The sequence below is a fragment of the Homo sapiens genome, chromosome 22, assembly GCF_000001405.40.
Source record: "Homo sapiens chromosome 22, GRCh38.p14 Primary Assembly".
NCBI classification, from domain to species: domain Eukaryota; kingdom Metazoa; phylum Chordata; class Mammalia; order Primates; family Hominidae; genus Homo; species Homo sapiens.
Window position 1 is genome coordinate 33,469,008 of NC_000022.11, and position 23,171 is coordinate 33,492,178.

At 43.2% G+C, this 23,171-nt stretch overlaps 1 protein-coding gene across 26 annotated transcripts in view, besides 3 other annotated features; it reads right to left on the reverse strand.

Annotated features, from left to right (window-relative positions):
• The window catches only part of LARGE1 (LARGE xylosyl- and glucuronyltransferase 1), an 856,162-nt gene that overhangs the window by 402,345 nt on the left and 430,646 nt on the right, over positions 1-23,171 (reverse strand). The window lies entirely within an intron of this gene.
• Positions 3,288-3,367: an enhancer, noted in NCBI's record as "active region_18882". NCBI's record gives its function as "activates an Ori minimal core promoter by ATAC-STARR-seq in GM12878 lymphoblastoid cells {active_cell/tissue: GM12878}" and the evidence as "EXISTENCE:reporter gene assay evidence [ECO:0000049][PMID:35858748]".
• Positions 3,508-3,567: an enhancer, noted in NCBI's record as "active region_18883". NCBI's record gives its function as "activates an Ori minimal core promoter by ATAC-STARR-seq in GM12878 lymphoblastoid cells {active_cell/tissue: GM12878}" and the evidence as "EXISTENCE:reporter gene assay evidence [ECO:0000049][PMID:35858748]".
• Positions 3,578-3,647: an enhancer, noted in NCBI's record as "active region_18884". NCBI's record gives its function as "activates an Ori minimal core promoter by ATAC-STARR-seq in GM12878 lymphoblastoid cells {active_cell/tissue: GM12878}" and the evidence as "EXISTENCE:reporter gene assay evidence [ECO:0000049][PMID:35858748]".

Genomic DNA, 23,171 nt, shown 5'->3' on the forward strand with positions numbered 1-23,171 from the left:
AGGGCTATTATTAAAAAGTAAAAAAATAACAGATGCTGGTGAGGTTCTGGAGAAAAGGGAATGCTTATACACTGCTGGTAGGAATGTAAATTAGTTCAGCCACTGTGGAAAGCAGCTGGGCAATTTCTCAAAGAAATTAGAACTACCATTCAACCCAGCAATCTCATTATTGGGTATATACCCAAAGGAGTAGAAACAGTTCTATCATAAAGACACATGCACACATAGGTTCACTGCAGCACTATTCACAATAGCAAAGGCATGGAATCAACCTAGATGCCCATCAACAGTAGACTGAAAAAAGAAAATATTGTACATACACACCATAGAATACTATGCAGTCATAAAAAAGAACAAGGTCATGTCCTTTGCAGCAATACGGATGGAGCTGGATGCCATTATCGTAAACACACTAACGCAGGAACACAAAATGTTTACCTCCAATAAGTGAAAACCAAACACTGAGTTTACATGAACACAAAGAAGAGAACAGAAAACTAGGCCCACTTGGGTGTGGAGGGTGGGAAGAGAATAAGGATAGAAAAACTATCTATTGCCTGTAATCCCAGCACTTCAGGAGGCCGAGGTGGGTGGATCACTTGAGGTCAGGAGTTCGAGACCAGTCTGGCCAACATGGTGAAACCCCCTCTCTACTAAAAATACAAAAGAAATTAGCTAGGCATGGGGGCATGCACCTGTAATTCCAGCTACTCGAGAGGCTAAGGCAGGGGAATTGCTTGAGCCTGGGAGGTGGAGGTTGCAGTCAGCCAAGATCGCACCACTGCACTCCAGCCTGGGCGACAGAGTGAGACTCCATCTTAAAAACAAAAAACAAAAAACAAAAAACAAAAAACCATCTATTGGGTGCTATGTTTACTCTTTTTTTTTTTTTTTTTTTCTGACACGGAGTCTCGCTCTGTCACCCAGGCTGGAGTGCAGTGGTGCGATCTTGGCTCACTGCAAGCTCCACCTCCCGGGTTCACGCCATTCTCCTGCCTCAGCCTCCCGAGTAGCTGGGACTACAGGCTCCTGCCACCACGCCCGGCTAATTTTTTGTATTTTTTAGTAGAGATGGGGTTTCACCACGTTAGCCAGGATGGTCTTGATCTCCTGACCTTGTGATCCACCCGCCTCAGCCTCACAAAGTGCTGGGATTACAGGCATGAGCCACTGGGCCTGGCCTACTATGTTTACTCTTTGGGTGACAAAATAATCTGTACACCAAACCCTCATGACATGTAATTTACTTATATCACAAACCTACACATGTACCCCTGAAACCAAAATAAAAGTTAAATACATCATGGCATTATTATTGAACTCTAAAAAGGCAGACAAGCCCTCTCTTGCTGTGGCTTCAACCCTAAACTCCTTGGCTTGGCTTCAACCTGCCACACAACTTTCAAGTGAACATTTATGATGTATTTACTCTATTTCAGGTATTGGGAATAATAAACAGGAATGAGCAGTCTTTGCCCTCAAAGATCTTAGAATCTATTCCTTTTGCTCCACGTTCTCCTCTCTGTCAAAACACACCAGTGCATGCTGTCCTGACAAGCCTGGTCTCTTAACTGAAGCCTCTCAGCCCCGTGTGGGCACATGCTCTCCCTCACCTCCCCGGAAGGGCCCCTCATTCCTCTCGTCCATAAGCTGCCCTCACCTTGTGAGTTCCACTTCCTCTACACGGACCTTGACCTCTTCGTGGGGAGCACTTGCTTCTCTGAATGCAGGTCCCCATTCTGGTCTGGCCCACACCATCTAAGGTTTCATTTAGATTCAGTTCAAATGCCTCCTCTGAGTAAAAGGCAGTGTAGTCTCATAGAAACACCATGCATGAATCTGAGAGAGCTATTTTACAGCGTGGGACCTTAACCAAATCTAAGTCTCCCTGAGCCTCAGGTTAGACTTCTGTCAAATAGGGATATTAAGTTGGTTGTTGTGAGGACCATATATGATAATGTTTGTAAAATGACTTATAAACGTTGTAGGACTGATGAAACTTAATAGTCTTTCTTCTTCTTCTTTTTTTTTTTTTTTTTTGAGAGAGTCTCGCTTTGACTCCTAGGCTGGAGTAAGGTGGCGTGATCTCTGCTCACGGCAACCTCTGCCACCTGGGTTCAAGCAATTCTCATGCCTCAGCCTTCCAAGTAGCTGGGGTTAAGGGCACACACTACCATGCCCAGCTCATACTTGTATTTTTAGTTGAGATATATTTTTAGCAGAGATTTTTAGCACCACGGTGGCCAAGCTGGTCTCGAACCCCTGACCTCAAGTGATCTACCCACCTTGGCCTCCCAAAATGCCAGGATTACAGGCATGAGCCACCACACTCAGCCCAGTCTTTCTTCTAACAACAAGATATTGATTCTGGAAAGCCCCGAACAACCCCACAAAGTACAAAAACAACTATAATAATAATACCTCTTATTATAACTGTTGCTTTTATGTGCAAAGCATCTGCTCAATTTTCCGATGTGGCTCTTCACTAATTTCTTATGGTCTCTTCTCTCTCATCATGAATTTTTTTGTATTTTATTTATTGCTTATTTCCAACTCTTGTGCCCCACCCAAAATAATGCCAATATGGACCATGCTGAATAACTGGTTGGGACCAAACACAGGGCTGCCCAGGAAACTCTTCCACTCAGAGAGGTGTAGGCCTTAGCTCCTCCCCAGGTGCCAAAGTACAAAAAGAGGCTGAAAGCACTGGGCTGATCTTATGATCAATAAAAGATAAGTGGGAGAGGCCAGGCGCGGTGGCTCACCCCTGTAATCCCAGCACTTTGGGAGGCCGAGGCGGGCGCATCATGAGGTCAGGAGTTCTAGACCAGCCTGGCCAAGAGACCAGCCTGGCCAATATGGTGAAACCCCGTCTCTACTAAAAATACAAAAATTAGCTGGGCGTGGTGGCGGGTGCCTGTAATCCTAGCTACTCGGGAGGCTGAGGCAGGAGAATTGTTTGAACCCGGGAGGTGGAGGTTGCAGTGAGCTGAGATCACACCACTGCACTCCAGCCTGGGTGACACAGTGAGACTCTGACTCAAAAAAAAAGAGTAGAGCCTCAGTGGAGAGCCAGGGGAGACAATGGGAAGACCATCCAATCAATTCAGTTACAGCTGGAGCTGAGCAGGCAATCCTGATTTAGTGCCATGGGTTAACTTTGAGCTGATTCTCCTGGTTGGTTTCATATTTTCAAGCATACTTTAAGGTCTTTGGAGGCAAAGATGGCAGTTACCTGCAGACCTTCCCAAGCACTTTGCAGGATGTTATACACAGAGAAAATGTCAACAGTTTGTACTGATGAAGGAGACAAAGAGAGAGACAGGCATGCAGAGGGAGAGGAGATAAAGAAAAAGGGATGCCAGAGAAAGGATCTTACTGTTGCTTACCTCTTTTTGAGTATTTCTTTCTTTTCAAATATCTAGTATAGTGGTTTCCAATGAGAGCAGGACTGATTCCTAGTGGGGTATTTTGGAAACCTCTGCAGGTGTTTTTTGTTGTTGCTATAATTAGAGGATGCCATTGGCTAAATTTAGAGGTGAGGTCAAGGGATGATCAACATTCTGCACTCTACAGGGAAATTCCACACCACACACAATAGTCCCTTGCCTCTCATGACTTTCAAATGTCTCAGCAGATAGTCATTTTAGTGAAAAAGACGTCAATAAGCAGCTATGTATAAAATCTAAACCACATTTTACATTTAAACTCTGAGTGTTTCTGCACATTTTAATATGTGCTGAGTTTTCTAGCAAAGCATCTACCATGTAAATTGAGGGAAGATCGTACTCCACTTTGTTTGGAATTTTACCAAGAGCTGCTCGTCATTTTGTAAAGTAATGATACCAGTAGCAGTGCTGCTGGCAGCATCTGAGTCATCAAACGATGCACCTGTATCTTTCTGCATTTGTAGCTGTCATGTGTAAAGGAATTCTGTTGATGCCTGCACAAGATCATTTCGTCCTGTCTTCTAGAGCACTGGGGTGGTCAAATATCTTGGCTTGCCTGGGACTGAGGGGTTTCCTGAATGTAGAACTTTTAATGCTAAAATTGGGAAAGTTCCAGGCAAATGAGGATGAGCGAGCCACTCTACTGAGTATTAACATATTGAGATGCATGATACTTTCAAAATGATACAACCTACACTTTTTCATATCTCTCTTTTTTTTTTTTTCTTTGAGATGGAGTTTCACTCTTATTGCCCAGGCTGGAGTGCAATGGCGTGATCTTGGCTCACTGCAACCTCCGGCTCCCAGGTTCAAGCCACTCTCCTGCCTCAGCCTCCCAAGTAGCTGGGATTAAAGGCACCCACCACCATGCCCGGGTAGTTCTTTTTATTTTTTATTTTTTTTATTTTTTTGAGACGAAGTCTCACTCTGTTGCTCAGACTGAAGTGCAGTGGCACTATCTCGGCTCACTGCAACTTCTGCCTCCCGGGTTCAAGTGATTCTCCCGCCTCAGCCTCCTGAGCAGCTGGGACTAGGGGCACATGCCACCACCATGCCCAGCTAATTTTTGTATTTTTTTAGTAGAGACGAGGTTTCACCCTGTTGGTCAGGCTGGTCTTGAACTCCTGACCTCGTGATCCACCATGCCCAACCAATTTTTTGTATTTTTAGTAGAGGTGGGGTTTCACCACGTTGGCTAGGCTGGTCTCGAACTCCTGACCTCAGGTGATCCACCACCTTGGCCTTCCAAAGTGCTGGGATTACAGGCGTCAGCCACCGAGCCCAGCACTTTTTCATACCTTCTACATACACAAGGTGCTGGGCATATGAAAAGTGATGGAAAAAAATATTAAATGAATGGGAGAAGAGGGAGAGAAAAAACAGGCCATTTTCTCAGAGTTGCTAAAATTAATTCTGTTCTATGAGTATGCGACTTTCCAGAAATGTGCAGCTGATACCAAGGCACACCTTCTCACCATCCCACAGTTTGAAGACATTTCATATTCTTATATTTTCTGCAAAGTATTCTCCAAAACATCTTTGGAGGGGAAAGGAGGTTGGTCTGCCTTCTGAAAAGGAATCATGATATCACAGGATCACATATTTCACAGGAACTTCAAGGTTACTAAATCTGGATAATCTTTTTCACTCAAAGGGCCTCAAACATATATTGTTGGCCAATGTATCTAGTCTTTTATTTTTATTTATTTATTTATTTATTTTTTGAGATGGAGTTTCACTCTCGTTGCCTAGGCTGAAGTGCAATGGTGCAATCTCGGCTCACTGCAACCTCCGCCTCCCAGGTTCAAGTGATTCTCCTGCCTCAGCCTCCCAAGTAGCTGGGATTATAGGCATGCACCACCATGCCTGGCTAATTTTCTGTTCTTAGTAGAAATGGGGTTTCACCATTTTGGTCAGGCTGGTCTCGAACTCCTGACCTCAGGTGATCCACCTGCCTCGGCCTCCCAAAGTACTGGGATTACAGGCATGAGCCACTGTGCCCGGCCTAGTCTGTCTTTTAAAAGGCAATACAACTAGACAGGTGCTGTGCTTGGTGACAATGGTAGAGACATGGCGCTTACCCCCTTATGCCTGGCACGCTTTGCATATTGACACTGCCTGCCTTCCACCTGCATACATGTGAGTCTGAGACCTCACTGTTATCAGGACACAAATCACCTCTGGAGTTTTGATAAGTCATCCGGAGCCTCACCTTGAACATCTGCTTTGACATAATAAGGAATAACTGGGAAACAGTTCTCTTTTTGATTCATTTGTGGTCACAAGAGGAAACCAACCACAGCTTACAGGAAAATAAGGAGTGTGGAAAAAGAGTGGGGTGCTGTGGGCTAGCTGATGTCCCCAGAGAAAACTCAGCTGTCAGCAAGATGGCAATGCTCCTGCATCCAAAACACAGCTGCTCATCTGTAATCTTGAGGCAATTTTGTTCAGGGGATAACTGGCTGAAAAGAAGAGAGCTGAAGTGAGAGGCCAGGAACTTGTTTCTGACAGTAATATCAGAAGATAAGGAGATGGAATGCCCTCTTTTGTCAAACTGCACCTCTTTTCACTCCACCATCTACAGGACATGCACCAGGGAGGGGGAGCCAGGCTGAATTTGGGGACAGGGAATGGCATAGTCTACTCACTGGAACAGAGTCTTTGTGTTTAATATGAGGGGTTTAGAAGCTTTTTCAGGAATCTTGCCTAATCCCATATAGAAGATGAATACTGGGGTGGGACTACCAGGGTTTGAATCTCTGTTTCATCTCTTCCTATTTGCATCACTTTACCAGTCAAAGGCAAGTTGCATATCTCTTAATTGGTCTCCTTATTTGTTAAATAAGGATGATAATAATAGGATTTATGTGATAGAGATGGTTATGAAGACAAACTGAAGGAGATCAAGGTAGAGAAAATGTTTAGACCAGTTCCTAGTACCTACTTGATAATCAGCATCAGTGAGTCATATTTATTTATTTATTTATTTATTTATTTATTTATTTATTTATTTATTTATTTTGAGATGGGGTTTCGCTCTTGTTGCCCAGGCTGGAGTGCAATGGCATGACTTAGGCTCACTGCAACCTCCGCCTCCCAGGTTCAGGGGATTCTCCTGCCTCAGCCTCCCAAGTAGCTGGGATTACAGGCATGCACCACGACACCTGGCTAATTTTTTGTATTTTTAGTAGAGACGGGGTTTCTCCAAGTCGGTCAGAGTGGTCTCGAACTCCCGACCTCAGTTGATCTGCCCCGCCTCAGCCTCCCAAAGTGTTGGGATTACAGGCGTGAGCCACCGCACCTGGCCTAACTCATTATTTTTTTCACAGCTTTATTGAGATATAATTAGCATACTGTACAATCAGCCATTCTTTTTAACCATGTCTGCTGCCCAAACACCATCCAGAGCCCCTAATTTGGATAGGTGTTATTAGAGAATATTGTCTGTGAAAGGAAAATAAATCTTGGGACCCCAAAATCACTAAGCCAAAGATAAAAGTCAAGCTGGGAACTGCTGGCAACTGCCTCAGGCAAACCTGCTTCCCATTATATTCCTAAATAAGATAGCTACAAAGATTTTAAAAAGAAAAAACAAAAGCTACGTATCTTCCTCACAATTTGGCCACAAGGAAATTCCCTGTGAAACTCAATATCTTTATTCTAAAACAATTCTGCTGAACTTCACCTGGCAATGTAAATTGATAGCTGATTAGCTGATCTTCACAGGTGTGGGACAGACAGTCCTCCCTCTGCTCACCTGAGACAAACGCATACCTGGATTGCTTCCTCTGCCCTATTTATGTAAAAATGCAGATTCATTGAGCCAGACTAAGGCAAAAGTGACTATTTCTCCACCACTCTTCTCACTGTAAATTGTGTGTTCAGTGAATGGATGATCAAAGACTCAAAAGAATGCAACCCTTTGTCTCTTATCTACCTATGACCTGGAAGCTCCGCCTACTACTTCGACTTGTCCCTCCTTTCTGGACCAAACCAATGCACATCTTATACATATTGACTGATGCATCACGTCTCTGTAAAATGTATACAAGCAAGCTGTCTCCTGACCACCCTGGGGCACATGTCTTCAGGACTTCCTGAGGCTGTGTCATAGGCATGTCCTTAACCTTGGCAAAATAAACTTTCTAAATTGATTGAGACTGCTCTCAGATACTTTGGGTTCATATGTCCTTTAAATGAAGTAACATTTCCTTTTTGGTTCTCTTCCCTATCCCACTGCACCCCGCCCCCCAGCCCAAAGAATACTAGGTATTAACTACACCCAAAAGGTGCTCTCCAAAGGTATACATTCATGACCAGATCATAAGCAAGGAGGGCAGAAGCAGAGAAACTCAAACGGCGATGTCAGAGTGTGGATAACTAACATTAGCAGAACGTGCACACAGGACCTTTTCATGCACGCAACATGCAGCTTCGGTGACATGACTCGGATGTGAGTCATGAGGTGCTGCCCTGCGATTCTTCGGCTCGGTGACAATTGCTGGAATCGAAGGACAGTGGGGAGCCTTCTGAGCCTGTCACAGTGCTCTTTTCTCAGGTCACAGAAATAACTTTCCTGGGAAAAGTTTCCAAAGAGATGAAAAAGAAACAGCTCAGAGCTGCGTGGCGGCTCACCGCTAAGTTTTCAAAGTGCCACTGGTGACAAGAAATTCTGGGAGGAATGTTCTCAGAAAAAGCCCCACCTGGGGCGTGAGAGACCCTGACACTTCATATGTACAGATTTCTTCCTTCTTAGTTGAATCAGGAGATCAAGTGACTATAATTACAGGCTGCAGCAAAAGCAAGGCCAGGCCAACGGGTCCCTTCCAAGAAAGGGTTTGCTGTCAGTTATAAGGAATGGGGAATTTTTCAATCTCTAAAGAACTCTTTGTTAAAAGTTTCTACTTGATAATTATGCCGTCTAAAGATGCTTTGTCAAAGTCCCTCTTTGTTTAGAAACTATGCTTGCTTGTTCTTTTGGGTTCAACAAAAGATCAGGGAAAAATGTGTCAATCTGTATTCCAAATAAGGTAAATGAAAACTGCCTGTCCTCATGGGACCTTAATTTCATGTCCAAGAAAAGTAGTAAAAGCGTTCAGAATACCCCCAAAGCTTGCCTGTGGTTAGACACAACTCCCCCCAGCCATGCACACACGCACCCCCACGTTCGCCACAAAATGCCAGTGAGCTCCGCCAGGTCTTAGAGCTCAGCTGAGTAATTCCACCTTCAAGCAATGGGTTAGAACCAGTATGGCTATGACCCAGGAAAGTACTAAGCATTGCAATTCATCGGTAACAGATGGAGAATTAAGGCCTTTGGTCACCATCAGTCTTTCGATGTCCTGCAAATTCCATTTCATTGCAGTAAAAATAGCCCAAGTGCTTGGATAAAGGATCCCTGACTGTCGCTGATCTAAAATACTCACCCTCTGCTGAAACCAAACCTCTTTCTACGTTTCTCAAATGGGCAGCATCTCTATTTGCATCTGAGTCACAGGTCTAACTCCTTCCTTTTCCTGGAAGCCCTCCTCTAACTCAATGGCTCTTTCCTCTACCTCTTCAGGGTTAAAGGTGAGCCCTATTTCACTCACCCACGCATAGGTTGATTAAGCTCTAATTATGTCAAGTTCAATGGGCACTGGGAGAGAGGAGGATAGGGCCCCATCTCTGCTCACAGTCCAGTCCAGAGGGAGCAATAACATGGACCACAGGGGCCATTCTCAGAGAAGAAGCTCATCAAATGCTTGGGAAATAAGCAATACTTTCCAAACGGGCTTCCACTGGACACCAGTGCCCTGAGCCACTGTGTGCCTGCCATAGTCTCTTCTTTGAGCTTCAAAACACATGGAAGTACACTGAAGGCTAAAGGAGCTCCAGGCTTAAACCAGTTTCACCCACAATCTCCCCAATGTATTTAGCCATGGAGGCTCTTTTGCCTAGAACACCTATTAACATCTTGTGTTCTGCAAAATAGTCTGGGAAACAACACCGCATTGCAAAGTAGGATGAAATAATGGCCATGAGAGAACTTCAAATAAAGAGCCAAAGGGCGAAACTTCCTCCATGCTGCTTTCCTAACTGCAGAAAGATGAAGAGGTCAAACAGATTTGTTTGGGAACTCAGTTTTGCCTTTTGCTATTTGCTACCTGTGACCTTGGCCAAGTCAATTAGCCCCTCTGAACCACAATTTCTTCATCTGTAAAAACATAATGAACTGTCACAGGATTTCTGTGTGAATTAAATGAGATAGCACATGAAAGCATCTGGCACAATGCCTAGGAGGAATCTAGTAGGTGCTCAATAAGCATTTCTTTCTTTCTTCTCTTAGTTCCACTGTGTTCCCGTAGCAGGGATAGTCCAAGTCCCTGATGTGGCACTTAAAGATGTGAGAGGGCATCGCTAACTATCTTCTCCAGTGGACAGATTTCCTAGAACATGGATGTTGGGTACCGGGGGACTTAGACCTTCCATTTAGCCCCCAGGATGGAGCAGGTGGCTCAACATGTAGTTGACACCAAGGATTTTTACTGTACAACAGCTTTTCCCCCAAGGAACCTCACCATTCATATGAGTGTTCCTGGTAGCAAGTGGCATCCTTTTTTGTTTAAGCCTGAATTCCTGAGGCCAACTTTCCTCCTGCAAGCAGGTGCCAACTTCCTCTGTGGCCAAGAGAAAGGTGCTCTCCAACTGGGGGGCGAGGTCTCCCATGCACCCCTTGATGCTGCCCTGGGGTTATGCCTGATGTTGCATTTACTAGACAGCCCTGACATTGTCCCATTCCCCTATTAGACCCTCTGCTCTTTCAGAACAGGAACATGGTCTTGTTTATTGGTATCCTCCAACACCTAGCACAGCATCTGGCACCTGATGAGCATTCAGCAAATGATGGGTGGATAAAATGAATGGATGACTGGATGGACTATTGGATGAACAAACAGAAGGAAGAGGGAAAGGGAAGGGAGAAAGGAAGGAAAGATCTGGTCTCAATTCCATGGGAAGATAAACTCCATAGAAACAGGGACTTTGTCAGTTATTTCTACAGTCAACAGGACTAGAACAGTGCCTGGCATATAACAGAAACTAAATCAATGTTTCTTAAATGAAAGGATGAATGACTGAATAAGCCAAGCTACTATTTGGAAAATTAGCAGTAAATAATTCCTACTCACCAACAAATCAAATTGCTCTGAGATTACTTCCTGATCTGTTTGTTCCCCACAATTACTAGAATATTTTAATATTTATGTAAATCAAAATGAGGGGCAAGGGATACTAACAAAAGTAATGACTTTTTTTTTTTTTTTTTGAGACAGAGTCTCACTTTGTCGCCCAGGCTGGAGTACAGTGGTGCAGTCTCAGCTCACTGCAACCTCTGTGTCCCAGGTTTAAGCAATTCTCGTGCCTCAGTCTCTCGAGTATCTGGGATTACAGGTGTGCACTACCACACCCAGCTAATTTTTGTATTTTTGGTAGAGATGGGGTTTCACCATGTTGGCCAGGCTGGTCTCGAACTCCTGACCTCAGGTGATCTGACTGTCTCCACCTCCCAAAGTGCTGGGATTACAGGCGTGAACCACTGTGCCCGGCAAGAATGCCTCTTATCGGTCAAGCAATGTACAAAGTTCAGTGACTACATCAAGACGCTGACCCTGCCCCCCAGGAGCTACTCAAAGCAACGGTGCCTAAACTGAACACAGAGAGTGAATGACAACCGAGGCGCAAGGAACAGGCACCCTGGACGGCTTCACGCAGACCTCGGAGCAGGGCTGCGCCATCCCAGCTAGAGTGTGTTCTGCTAGAAATACAGAGAGTGACAGTATCAATTAATCCCTTCATGATCCTAATGTCAGAAATGTAAGCCTTTTATGATGCAGTAAAACAATTTTTATGGGTTTTTCCATCCATCTCATGTCTTGATGTATTTTTTAATCAAAAAGGATAAGAACAAGAAGTCAAGCGGGTATAATCTCCTGCTCATTTCTCTGGTTCTCTGCCCAGGGAGGGGAGGTGAGCCCCGTAGAGGTTCCTGTGCTCCCAGGGAGTATTTTCCAGAAAGCAGCCTTCTTCCAGTAGAGGAGAACCAGGCCCTGCTTTAAGTAATGTATATATTCTCCAAGGGCTGCATGTAAATGAAATCTCAGTAAATCAAATTTCATGTTTCCAATAACTTTGGATGCATTTTATCTTTATTTCTGATGATAAAACAAAAAAAATTCCTTTCATAAAATGTGCACACTTGAAAAAACACAAAAAGAGTAAGTTACTTGCAATCTTATCACTTAGAGATAATTTTATAATGCAGTCTTAGACTTTTATTATGTGTTTAGATATACAGATATATTTTGACAAAAACAGGATAACGGTAGAATTACTATATAACCTACTTACTCTTAGCAGCTGTTCTATAAATACGTTATTAACATTTCCTCATGTCGACACTCCACATTTTATGTATGATTTCCATGTTATTCAATTGTATGGATATACCAAAATTTAACAACTTAAATTTAAATTTATCTGTTTTTGGAAGTTGCCTATGTTTTCAAAATTTCCTCATCATAAATAATACTAAAAGCTCCCTATTCTCATCTCTTATAATTTCCTGGAAATGAAATGGCTGTGTCAAATATATACATATTTTAAAACTTAGATACATACTTTAAAATTGCCCTGCAAAAAAAAAACGCTTTAGTGATTTATACTTCTTCCAGCAAGGAGAAGTATTTACATTTTTCATACCTTTATTATCATTGGCACTATAGATACACACACACACACACACACACACGTACACACACATTTTTTTTTTTTTAAGCACTGCCAGTGTTTAATTACTGCTTTGGTTTTCAATTTTTTGTTTACTTTGTGAAGTAGAGTTTTTTTTATGTGTTAAATGACTTATTTGGGTTTACTTCTTCAGTGGAGAACATTCATGTCTGTGGGCCATTATTTTTTTAAATGCTTTGTAGGAACATTTTACATATCGAAATACTGATCCATGATTTTTAATCTATGGTGCACATTTTTTCTAGAATAGTTTGTTTCAAACAAAAATTTAATGGTGTTTTGTTACCTCTTCTCATGCACCCTATGAATTTTTCATTTGTCTTCTTGTCAAACAGTACCAGTAAAGCCATACTAAAGCAGATAAGAGAAACACCACCATTCACGGCAGGTATATCACTAATTTTTCTGTTGGATGAGCAGAGATTTCATTCAAGGTGGATATTCCCCGGGTAAACCTTGCCCGTTAGAACAACTGCCAACATTCAAGGTGGATATTCCCTGGGTAAACCTTGCCCGTTAGAGCAACTGCCAACTGAAACAGAGGTTGACAGATGATGTAAAAATTGGTCATAAAGAGACCGGCACCAGTTCTCTTAGCAAAAGTCAGGCAGTGGCCACCTCATTTAGGACAATAAAATTTTGAGTGACATACAGGTCACAGACAGAGTCAAGAATCTGTAGTGAGGAAACCTGCATTAGAGTTTCCTTCTTTCCTACCTACCAGACAGTTAGGTCAACTTCTTTGATTTTCAGCTTTCTCACTACCTACCAGATATTATTACCATCATCATCATATCTACTGTACTCCACAAACTAGCTCTTAAATCTAACTGAAAGCACTTCTTGAACTGTTAAGTGTTATCAAAATGATTGCTACATTTTATGACCAATTTGAATCAGGAATTAGGTAGAATTATTTGGTTTGAGGTCAAAAGCAGGAGTCTTGGAAGTTGACTTGCAAGAAAGGTCATAACCTAGAAAAACCTCTCGGAGACTCTATCCCTCTTGCAATGGGTCGGTGATGGCTATAATATTAGCAAAGACAAGGTGTTGTTATTCATGCTTTTCTCCTCTTTCCTTTTTCCTTTCTTCTGTTTTTGTATTTCTCACACATTTATCGGGCATTAAGCCATGGTGTTCTATGCTGAGCCTTGTTCCAGTAACTGGGGGCTCAGGGTTGAACAAAACATAATAGGGATCCTCAAGGGACTCACAGTTTCTGGATTTGGAAAACTACTTCCTGCATGTTAAAGGCAGGTCTCACTGCAAGTTAAAAGAGCATCACACACTGGGGCCTGTCGGGAGGTTGGGGGCTAGGGGAGAGAGAGCATTACAAGAAATGCCAAATGTAGATGACGGGTTGATGGGTGCAGCAAACCATCATGGCACGTTCTGGCCATGGTTTGGCCACCTATGTAACAAACCTGCACGTTCTGCACATGTACCCCAGAACTTAAAGTATAATAATAAAAAAAAACACCAAACAATCCAATAATACTCTTTCAGTTATTTAAAAATGTACAATGAAATTATTATTGACTGTAGGCACCCTATTTAAAGAAAAGACTCTTGTCCCTATTGAGGTGTTGGGAAGCAAAATGGAAAGCTGGCTCCATAGTTCCTGGAAATGTCAAGAGTTTGAGCACTTGAGGCAGCTCCAGGAAGGTGGGGGTACAAATGGCACCTTCTCTACCTGATGCTGGGAAATCAGGAAAGCAGAGATTGCATGCGGGATGGACAGGACTTACGTGGCCTGGAAGCAAACCAACCAATGTAGCTCCGGAAACCTCTGCCGTGTATCTTCATTAGGTTGTAGTTATGTGTCTTGTGTTCTGTTTACTATTATCGTTTTCTTCCACCTCCTTTCTACTTGTAAAATTTCAATCTTTTCAAAAGTCTTGGCTGGCCCGCCTTCCATTTGGTTCACACTTGAGTGACAGCACTAAGGGTTACATAGCATCATCCGGAGGCTCGGCAGACAGGCCTCACCAGAGAAGGTCATATTCAGAGGACCCCAATACGGGCTTTCATCCAGCTCTCTCTCTTAGAGAGGAAGGTATTTTTACTTCCAGAGCCACTCTGGAGATCCAAGATTTCATTTTATTAATGGAAATGCTTCCCCTTGCAACCATCAGTCCACCAAAGCTTGGAAACACACTGATATTGGGGGCAGAGGTAGTGTCATGCAAAATTAGCTATTGAGTTCCCATGTCCAGAGGACTGAGAGGGTGATGGTGAACAGATAGGGACAGAAAGGACAGAGGTAAAAGAGCAAGGGCAGTGAAGAGGCAGGTTAAAGATGGTCAAACAGCAGCTCTAGGCATTTAAGGAAAGAAACAGGTGAGTGTGGGCAAGGAAGTAGCCAAGGGGAACGAAATAGGAGGGGTCGGGCTGCATTAATGAATGCTAGTAATGATCGCTGATGCTCTTAATTATAACCACAGGGCACTGAAGATCCTGCCTCGTTAAAGGACGATTAAATTATCTTCACTCTGTTAAACTGATGGAGGCAGGAAAGTGGGCCACTGGCTTGTAGAATTTTCTACAGAAACAGGGATGAAAGAATTGGAGATCTGGAAGGAGTGGCATGCTAGGGTGGAGAATCCTGTTCCCCAAGGCCCCTGTTCCCCATGCATCTCATCAGCCTGCTGCTGGGCATGGCCTGGCAGCAGAGGCGGTCAACACCATCCTTTGGAAGGTGAGATGCGTGACCTTGACGGCCGGAAGTTTAGACTTTCTGGGAATCCTTGAGCATACGGGGTGCGGACAGTGAAAAGCCGCGACACGGGCCTCATTGCTACAAATACATTTATCTACCCGGGCTGTACACGTGACACCTTCTAAAGCTGCACCTCACCAAATACACAAAGAGCCTGGGACAACAGACACCTTGGGGAAGAGTTTGATGTTCCTGGGTTTAAAAAATTCGTCAGCTACAGTTCTAATGTTCCTCTCACTTCATCACACAATCTTTCTTGATAAAATCAATATTTATGGGGCTAGGTGCTATGGGTGATTCAAAGAAAAATGAGCCAGATCTCTAACCTTGAGGAGTTTCAATGTAATGATTATATAAGAATCTTTCTTATTCTAAAACCAATGTCATCATGATTTAAATGCAGCAACAGGACTTATCCAATAAATCTTACTGTGAATCATACTTGGAAAGAGAATAATGTTTCTGGAAAACAAATGTTAAAGGATGATCAATTTCCTCTTTTCCCATCTTCTTAGAGTTTCTGCATCTTAAAGTGAGAGCTATGTTACAGAACAGTTTGCAAGAAGGCTTTGAAGGGCTGTGACTCTTTCTGGAGATCAGAGCTTCAAAACTAGAATTCTGGCCTCCATGACAGAGGTGCTTCCACGACAGGAGAGCGCTGGGTTCTACTGCCTTGCTGACTTTAAGTTAAGAGTCAATTAATGGTTGCTTTTACTTTGTCTCCTCCAAACTGTTTTGCGCCCATCCGCCAACAGGTGCAGCATCAGGACTAAAGCCATGCCCCCGGTCTGGTTATTCCTGTTCAGCTTCTCTTCCTCTTCACATCCTCTGACCTCTCTTACCCATTCTTCCTTATTGTCATTTTTGTGACACTATTGCCACAATTGTCACTATTGTCACTTATTGTCCTAGAGTGATATCCACTCACCCAAAGTAAATAATGAGGTGGTTTTTTTTTTTTTTTTTTGAGACAGAGTCTCGCTCTGTTGCCCAGGCTGGAATGCAGTGGCACGATCTTGGCTCACTGCAACCTCCAACTTCAGGGTTCAAGAGATTCTCCTGCCTCAGCCTCCTGAGTAGCTGGGATTACAGGTTCCCACCACCACGCCCGGCTAATTTTTTGTATTTTTAGTAGAGACTGGGTTTTGCTATGTTAGCCAGGCTAGTCTCGAACTCCTTAGCTCAGGCAATGTGCCTGCCTTGGCCTCCCAAAGTGCTAGGACTACAGGCATGAGCCACCGCGTCCGGTCTGAGTCTTTTTTTTTTTTTGAGACAGAGTCTTGCTCTGTCGCCCAGGCTGGAGTGCAGTGGCACGATCTGGGCTCACTGCAACCTCTGCCTCCCAGGTTCAAATAATTCTCCTGCCCCAGCCTCCCGAGTAGCTGGGATTACAGGCACGGGCCACCACACCCAGCTAATTTTTGTATTTTTAGTAGAGACCGGGTTTCACCATGTTGGTCAGGCTGGTCTTGAACTACCGACCTCAGGTGATCTGCCACCCCCTCGGCCTCCCAAAGTGCTGGGGAGTTCATTTTTTTAAATAAAAAAAGGAATACATATTCCTTGCAGGAAATTTAGGAAATAAAAATATGCAAACTAGAAATAACTGTAATCCCATTAACTAGAGATTGGGATGGTTAACATTTTAGTGAATATTCCATGACTTTCTGTCACTTAGACGTTGTTTTTTAAACTCTTGTCCTGATTTCTACCAAATTAGGTTCCAAGTTAGATCATCCCCCAAATTCAACCATCAGTTCCAATGCCACATTATCCGTGAGGCTACTCTGATCCACACCCCCTATTTAACACAGTATCACCTCTCCCCTCACACTCTCAACCGCACTTACTCAGCTTTATTTTCCACCATGGCTCTTATCACCATCTGACATACTATATATACATTTATGTATTTCCCCAGGGGAGAATATAAGCTCCAGGTGGGCAGAAATTTTTGTCTGTTTTGTTTGCTGCTACACCTCTGAGGCCCAGGGATACATACGCCCTGATTATCTCAAGAAGAGCAGGTGCTTCTCTTTCACAACAGTAAATAACTCTTAGAGACAAGGACCATCGCTCAGGACAATGGCCTTGCAGATGTGCTCCCTGGCACTTCTGCCAGCAAAGGGGAAGAAGAGGAAAGATATTCTGAGACTTGGCTCTCGTGTCAGCTCTGCTGCTAACTCTCTGGGTGATCCAGGGCATGTGGCTTGCCCACTCTGAGCCTCAGTTTCACACTGATAGAAATGAGAGGGCTGGGTGTGGGTGGTGCCTGAAGGCGCTTCCATCTCTTTGTTCGAAGAGATCATACAGCCTCTACAGAGAAGACAGCATGAAGTTCCTGGGGCTCTAGACCAAAGCCACGGAAAGCAGAATCTGATCACCTATCCCTCCTTCCACTGGTGCAGGACTTGACAGTTTACAAAGTGCTTTTGCTTTCTCATTAAGTTTATCAATTGGCTAATCAGCACAGGAATCTCAAACAGAGCATCAACATCAAGCATGGAAAGCACCTAAAATGGCATGGCAGAGTCAGCAGGACTAAACAGAAGAGACAGAGAGAGAGACAGAGAGAGAGAGAGAGGAGAGCGCACACCAGGGAAAGACTGAGGAAATCCATTGGGGAAATTAACTGCAACTTCAGAGAGAAAGAGAAAAAAAGAGCACCAAAAGGCAGGGGAGTTAATTTTCACAGAATTCATCTAAATCTTATTTAAATACCGCTTTGGCAACTGTCACACTTCATGAATCCAATGGGAATTACACAATCCACTGTTGATCTAGTCATCTTCATTGACTCCTGGTGCTTTCTCCATGTCCCTCTGATGGAGAGAGGGGACCTGCATGAGTGTCTCCGGCTCTCATCCCCCAAACTTGGCTTGAAGATTGCAGAATCCTCAGAAATCTGAGGCTGAAACTTCTGCAACACATTTAGAAGAATATATCTAGGTCTCTATCAAATCTGTTTACTGGGTTATATAACTGTGCTCTTATTGTAATTCTGTGACTTTTATCAAAAGGCTAGATCCAAATTGCGGACACAAATATTCCTTTTTACATTCGCTCTGGATGAGTGACTGCAGCCTAAGTCTATTCTCTAGCCCTTTTGGATTGCTGCAAGCTTGCAGGAGCAAGCTTCCCGCCCCAACAAACCCCTTAAGAAGGAATGTGCTTCAGGGCAACAGTAAACTTATGCTTATCAAATTATTCATTCATTCACCTGTTCATCCATCTGACGGATAATTACTGAGCCTGTACCATCAACAAGACACTGATTCAGGCAATCGGGATAAAGAGTCTATTCAAACTGGTGAGACAGATGCAATTCACTAGCATCAGGAGTTGGAAAGCTGCTTCCTGTCCTCATCACAGGTCTGCTGAATTCCCTGATCTCCACTCCATGTTGGTGATGAAAATCACCAATTCCTCTTGTTCTGATTGGCATCAGTCTAACGGGTTTCTTGACAGCAGCCTAAGGTCCTTCTCCCCAGTATCTACTCCTCTGCTTGCTTTTCTGGCTCATGAGTTTCTCAAGGCAGGACCTTTGGAGAGCCCTTCAGTTGTAAAGGCATTTCCTCCAGCTGCCAAGCTGGGTAATCAGAGAAAGTGCCTATCCATCTCGCAGGGTCAGTAGACTTACTGATCAAGAAAGACGAAGAACCTGCCACAAAGGATGCAGAGCCTGTGCTGTTGTTGAGATGGCCTCCTTTAGCTGAGTAAGAGGATAAAACTCACTGAAATCTAGAAAATAAGACTGCTTCTTGGCCTGGTGTACTGGAAAGCACACACCGACATGGGCAAGGAAGCTCTGTTCTGCTGCTCACTGACGGCAAGACCTCTTGGGCACTTGATGTTGAAACTCTGAGCTTCTGTTTCCCTATCTGCAAAGTGGAGATCATGTTATCTCCCTTTAAGCCTGCCATGAATATTAAATAATTGTTATCATTTATTAAGCATTAACTAGAAGCCAGGCAGTGTGTGAAGCAGCTTATCAACCACAATCTTATTTAATTCAATTGTGCTACTCATGTTAGCCTCAGAGTAAAAGTACTGGGGAGGAATTTTGCCATTTGTTTCCCAGAAAAGAGGTTTTCTATAGTTCTGGGGTCAAACACTTTGCTGGTGCCCAAAGGACTTGGTGAAATTTCAAACACCGTTGACTTCCAAATGTCTAGAATTGTGCTTGTTGAACACAGTAGCCACTAGCCACATGTGGCAATTTAAATTTAAATAATTAATCAAACTCGGATTAAATTAAAACTCAGTTCTTTATTCATGCCAGGCACATCTCCTGTGCTCAGTGACCACATGGTAGTGGTTACCATACCAAAGAGTGCAGATGTAAAACATTTCCATCAGTCCAGAAAGTTATGTTGGACAGAGCTTAGGGATGGAAAATAAGACATGGGAGGAGAAATAAGAGAAAAGTGAACAACAGGGCAAGAGAGTCAATTCCATGGAGGTTTGTAAAATAAAATGTTGGCATGTTTTCAATAATTTTTCATGGTTAACAGAGTGAGGCTGTTCTCATTTTGGGGCTGTCTTAACAAGTACTTTCTGGGGTATTTGGATGGTTTTACAGGACAGCTTTAGTAGCTATGGTTACTAACAGTTCAGCACCATTCAGAAGTATTATATTTTACTAATAAGTAAAGATAAAAATAAAGACATTAAAAAGTCATACAGAATCCATTCCCTTAAGCCAAATGGCTCACCTACTATCATTTGCCCTGACAATACTAATTCTGATAACCTAGCACTTAAGGAAGAGTTTCCCAAAAATAAATCATGCGCTAATCATCATAATCTGGGGAAACGCTTTGTAATATTCCAAGATGCAAGCAGTCATCATTCTAGACATAACCTACCTCTCTAAATCTCCCTGGGGCCACACCAAATGCTCCTTGCGAAGTGCAAATGTAATCACAACACCCAACTTGAAAAACTTCACAAAGCACTCCTTTCCCTGGAGTACCTATCAAAGTCTTTGTCATGACATATGATCCCCTTCACAACCTAACTGTAGTTTACCACCTCCTCCTCTCTGCTCAGTCCACCAGCAGTAGTCTCATTTGGTCATTCATTCATTCAACAAATGTTTATTAAGTGCTTCCATGTCTACATATGATGCTAGGTGCTGAGGCTACAGAGGTGAAGACAAGAGAATGCAAAGTCAGATGCCTATCCTCGTGGAGCTTATACTGTAGCAGGAGAAAACAGGCAGCAGAAAAGTAAATATTTAAGATACATAATGACAAATGGTGATAGGTGCTACGAAGATCACAAAATGTGTGGTCGTGGAGGGAGAGGGAAGAGGGCAACTTTCTTTATATTTAGATGTTACCTTCCCAGGTCTTTTCAAACTGTCAATCATTCATTCAAGAAATTTTTATTGAACACTTCACTATGCGCAGGGCAGTGTTCTGAGCACTGGGGTGAGGACAATGATATGGTCTGGCTGTGTCCCCATCCAAATCTCATCTTGAATTGTAGCTCCCATAATTTTTATGTGTTGTAGGAGGGACCCAGTAGGAGATAACTGAATCATGGAGGTGGTTTCCCCCATACTGTTCCTGTGGTAGTGAATAAATCTCACCAGATCTGATGGTTTTATAACAGGTTTCCCCTTTCACTTGGCTCTCATTCTGTCTTGTTTGCCACCATGTAAGATGTGCCTTTCCCCTTCTGCCATGATTGTGAGGCCTCCCCAGCCATGTGGAACTGTGAGTCCATTAAACCCTCTTTTTCTTTATAAACTACCCAGTCTCGGGTGTGTCGTTATCAGCAGCATGAAAGCGAACTAATAGAAACAATGAACAAAACAAAGCCCTGGCTTGAGGGAGCTGACATCCTAGTGGCAGAGAGAAACAAGAAGCAAACACCACACTGCAGGCGCTCAGATGAATGGAAGTGCTAAGTGGACATGAACAAGCGTAGATGGGGCTGGGCTGGGTGGTGTTGCTGTCTCTAAAGAGGGTGCCTGTCCCAGGGAAGGCAGTGACTTCACATGCACATCTTACTGTTTTGCTAGAACACGGTTTCCCCGCCTTGTATCCCTGGCCACTTTCTCCTCCTTTTCCAACTCCTGACTCCAGAAGCACTTTCCCTCTGGAGCTAGGGGGGCTCTGCTTAGGCATAATTACTTGCTCCCTCAACTGGATCATTGTAAATTATAAATAACTTGATTAATCTGCATCATGCAATATTACATCATATTTATATATTCGGGTAAGTTATTCCTACCAAGTTCACATTACTAAAGGGCTGGGACTGCGTCTTATCCATCTTCATTTATTCACGCCAGAAGCTCCATGGAACATCAACCATGAACCTTGCCCCGCTTCCCTACCAGAGAATAAAGAGGAATCCCTGTCATTTTGTCCTTATTTTCTTTCCACCTCATTCGTCTCTCACAAAGGACTGAGATGTTATTTTAATGAAATAGTGCAATTTAAATGAAATAGTGCATGTAAAGTGTTTAGCCCAGTGCCAAGAACATGAAAACGGCTCAGTAAACATGTGTTGTTTCTATAACTACTATTACTACTCTAAATAGAATTATTTGTAGGCCAACTGTTTTCTAACTACATCACTCCATTCATTATCCAGTACACTGCTGCAACGCTTCTGATTTTAGTCTCCAACTAGAGTCAGATCAATCTGATAGTGGATGCCATAGTACCTGGGAATCCCATACAGCTTCCCGGCTCACTAAAGAGAAGGTTCACATTTGAAGGCATTGCCCCAAGTTAGAGGTAGTTACTGACTCTTTACATCATCTCTGACACTCTCCACATTCAAATATGGTGGAGATGCTTTGTCTGCAAAACCCACAGGACTGACACTTTAGTAGCTCTTCGCCGGTGACCATGAGCTGCAGAGCTGCTCCACTTCTTGAGTTTTCTCTGTTGTTCACCTCTTCCTACCATTGTCGCCAGTTTCCTGGGTACTCTTCTCTCTTACTCCTGTTTTTCTCTTTATTGTTGCCTACATGTTCTCTGAGAGAAAGTGGCAAGAATTTCAGCAGCCCAGCCAGACAAACCTGAGCCTGAGACCCAAACATCCCCTTCAATTGCTGTGAGACCACCTCAGCCAGACACATCTTTGTTTACAAGGATCTTCTCTTGTAAAATTAGGACAACACAAAGCTGCTTTCAGGGCAGTTGAGAGGATATACATCTCTTAATATGACAGTGTTGGTACACAGTATATGGAATTGTTAATAGTATTGTTGTTCTATGTCTACCTCCAAATTTAGGGACATTTTAAAAGCTCGAGGGCACTAAAATGCTGTTTCCTGATAGCTGGCCACCCACTACATGTAATAATGTAAAAATACAATGCAAGAATTTTTATGTAGGAAAGAGCAGGAAGCGGTTTTACATATAACTGCATACAGCTAGAAAGAGGTTGGGGTCATTATACCCACATGCATGGAGGGTCAGACAGAACCTCTGATAAAAGTAGTTAAAAAAGATGAACGCATTTTCCCAACTGAGCTATCCCATCCAGCCCAGATTCAATAATTTAAAAGACAATGCTCGACGCTCACTTCAAGGTGAGAGAAAATTCTGAAGATGAAAGAATCTTCTCAAAACTTCCTTTTAATTAAAATGTTGGTTGCCTGGATTTCTCCTGAGCCTCAGCTCTTTGCCTATAAAGGAGAAATCACAAGGAGCTCTGCCTAGACAATAAACCACTTAATCTGAAATTGGAACTTAATCATAAGTCGATCTTACAGCCCCATTTTTGTGCCCACCATTGGGTAGGTACTAAAAGCTTTGGAATAATATGAATTTATCAGTCTTGAAGGCTAGTATTGCATAGTTGAAACAAAATAAAACTGTCAAACTCAAACAGAAAAGACGAGGAATTCAAGATGTGGCTAAATTACTATGAAATAAAGACAAGGTCGAGGGGAAAGAAAACCATTCCCGAGGCAGCTGAAATGCAAAATTTTTGCTGAGATGAAAGGCCGACCCCTTGATGTGGCCTTATGGCTCCACAAATGGTAAGAAGAGTTTCATGGAATATTTCAAAATAGAAAGATACAAAAGTATCAGTGGCAGTGTTCTGAACAGAGTGGGTGCCAGAATAGTGTTGAATTACTAAATGAGTGATGACAGAAAGAAGAAAAAGCAGGTAGATAAATAGGTAACAGCAAGACTGATGGGGCCTTGTCGGCCACTGGCAGGTGACAGATGAGCCAATGCATC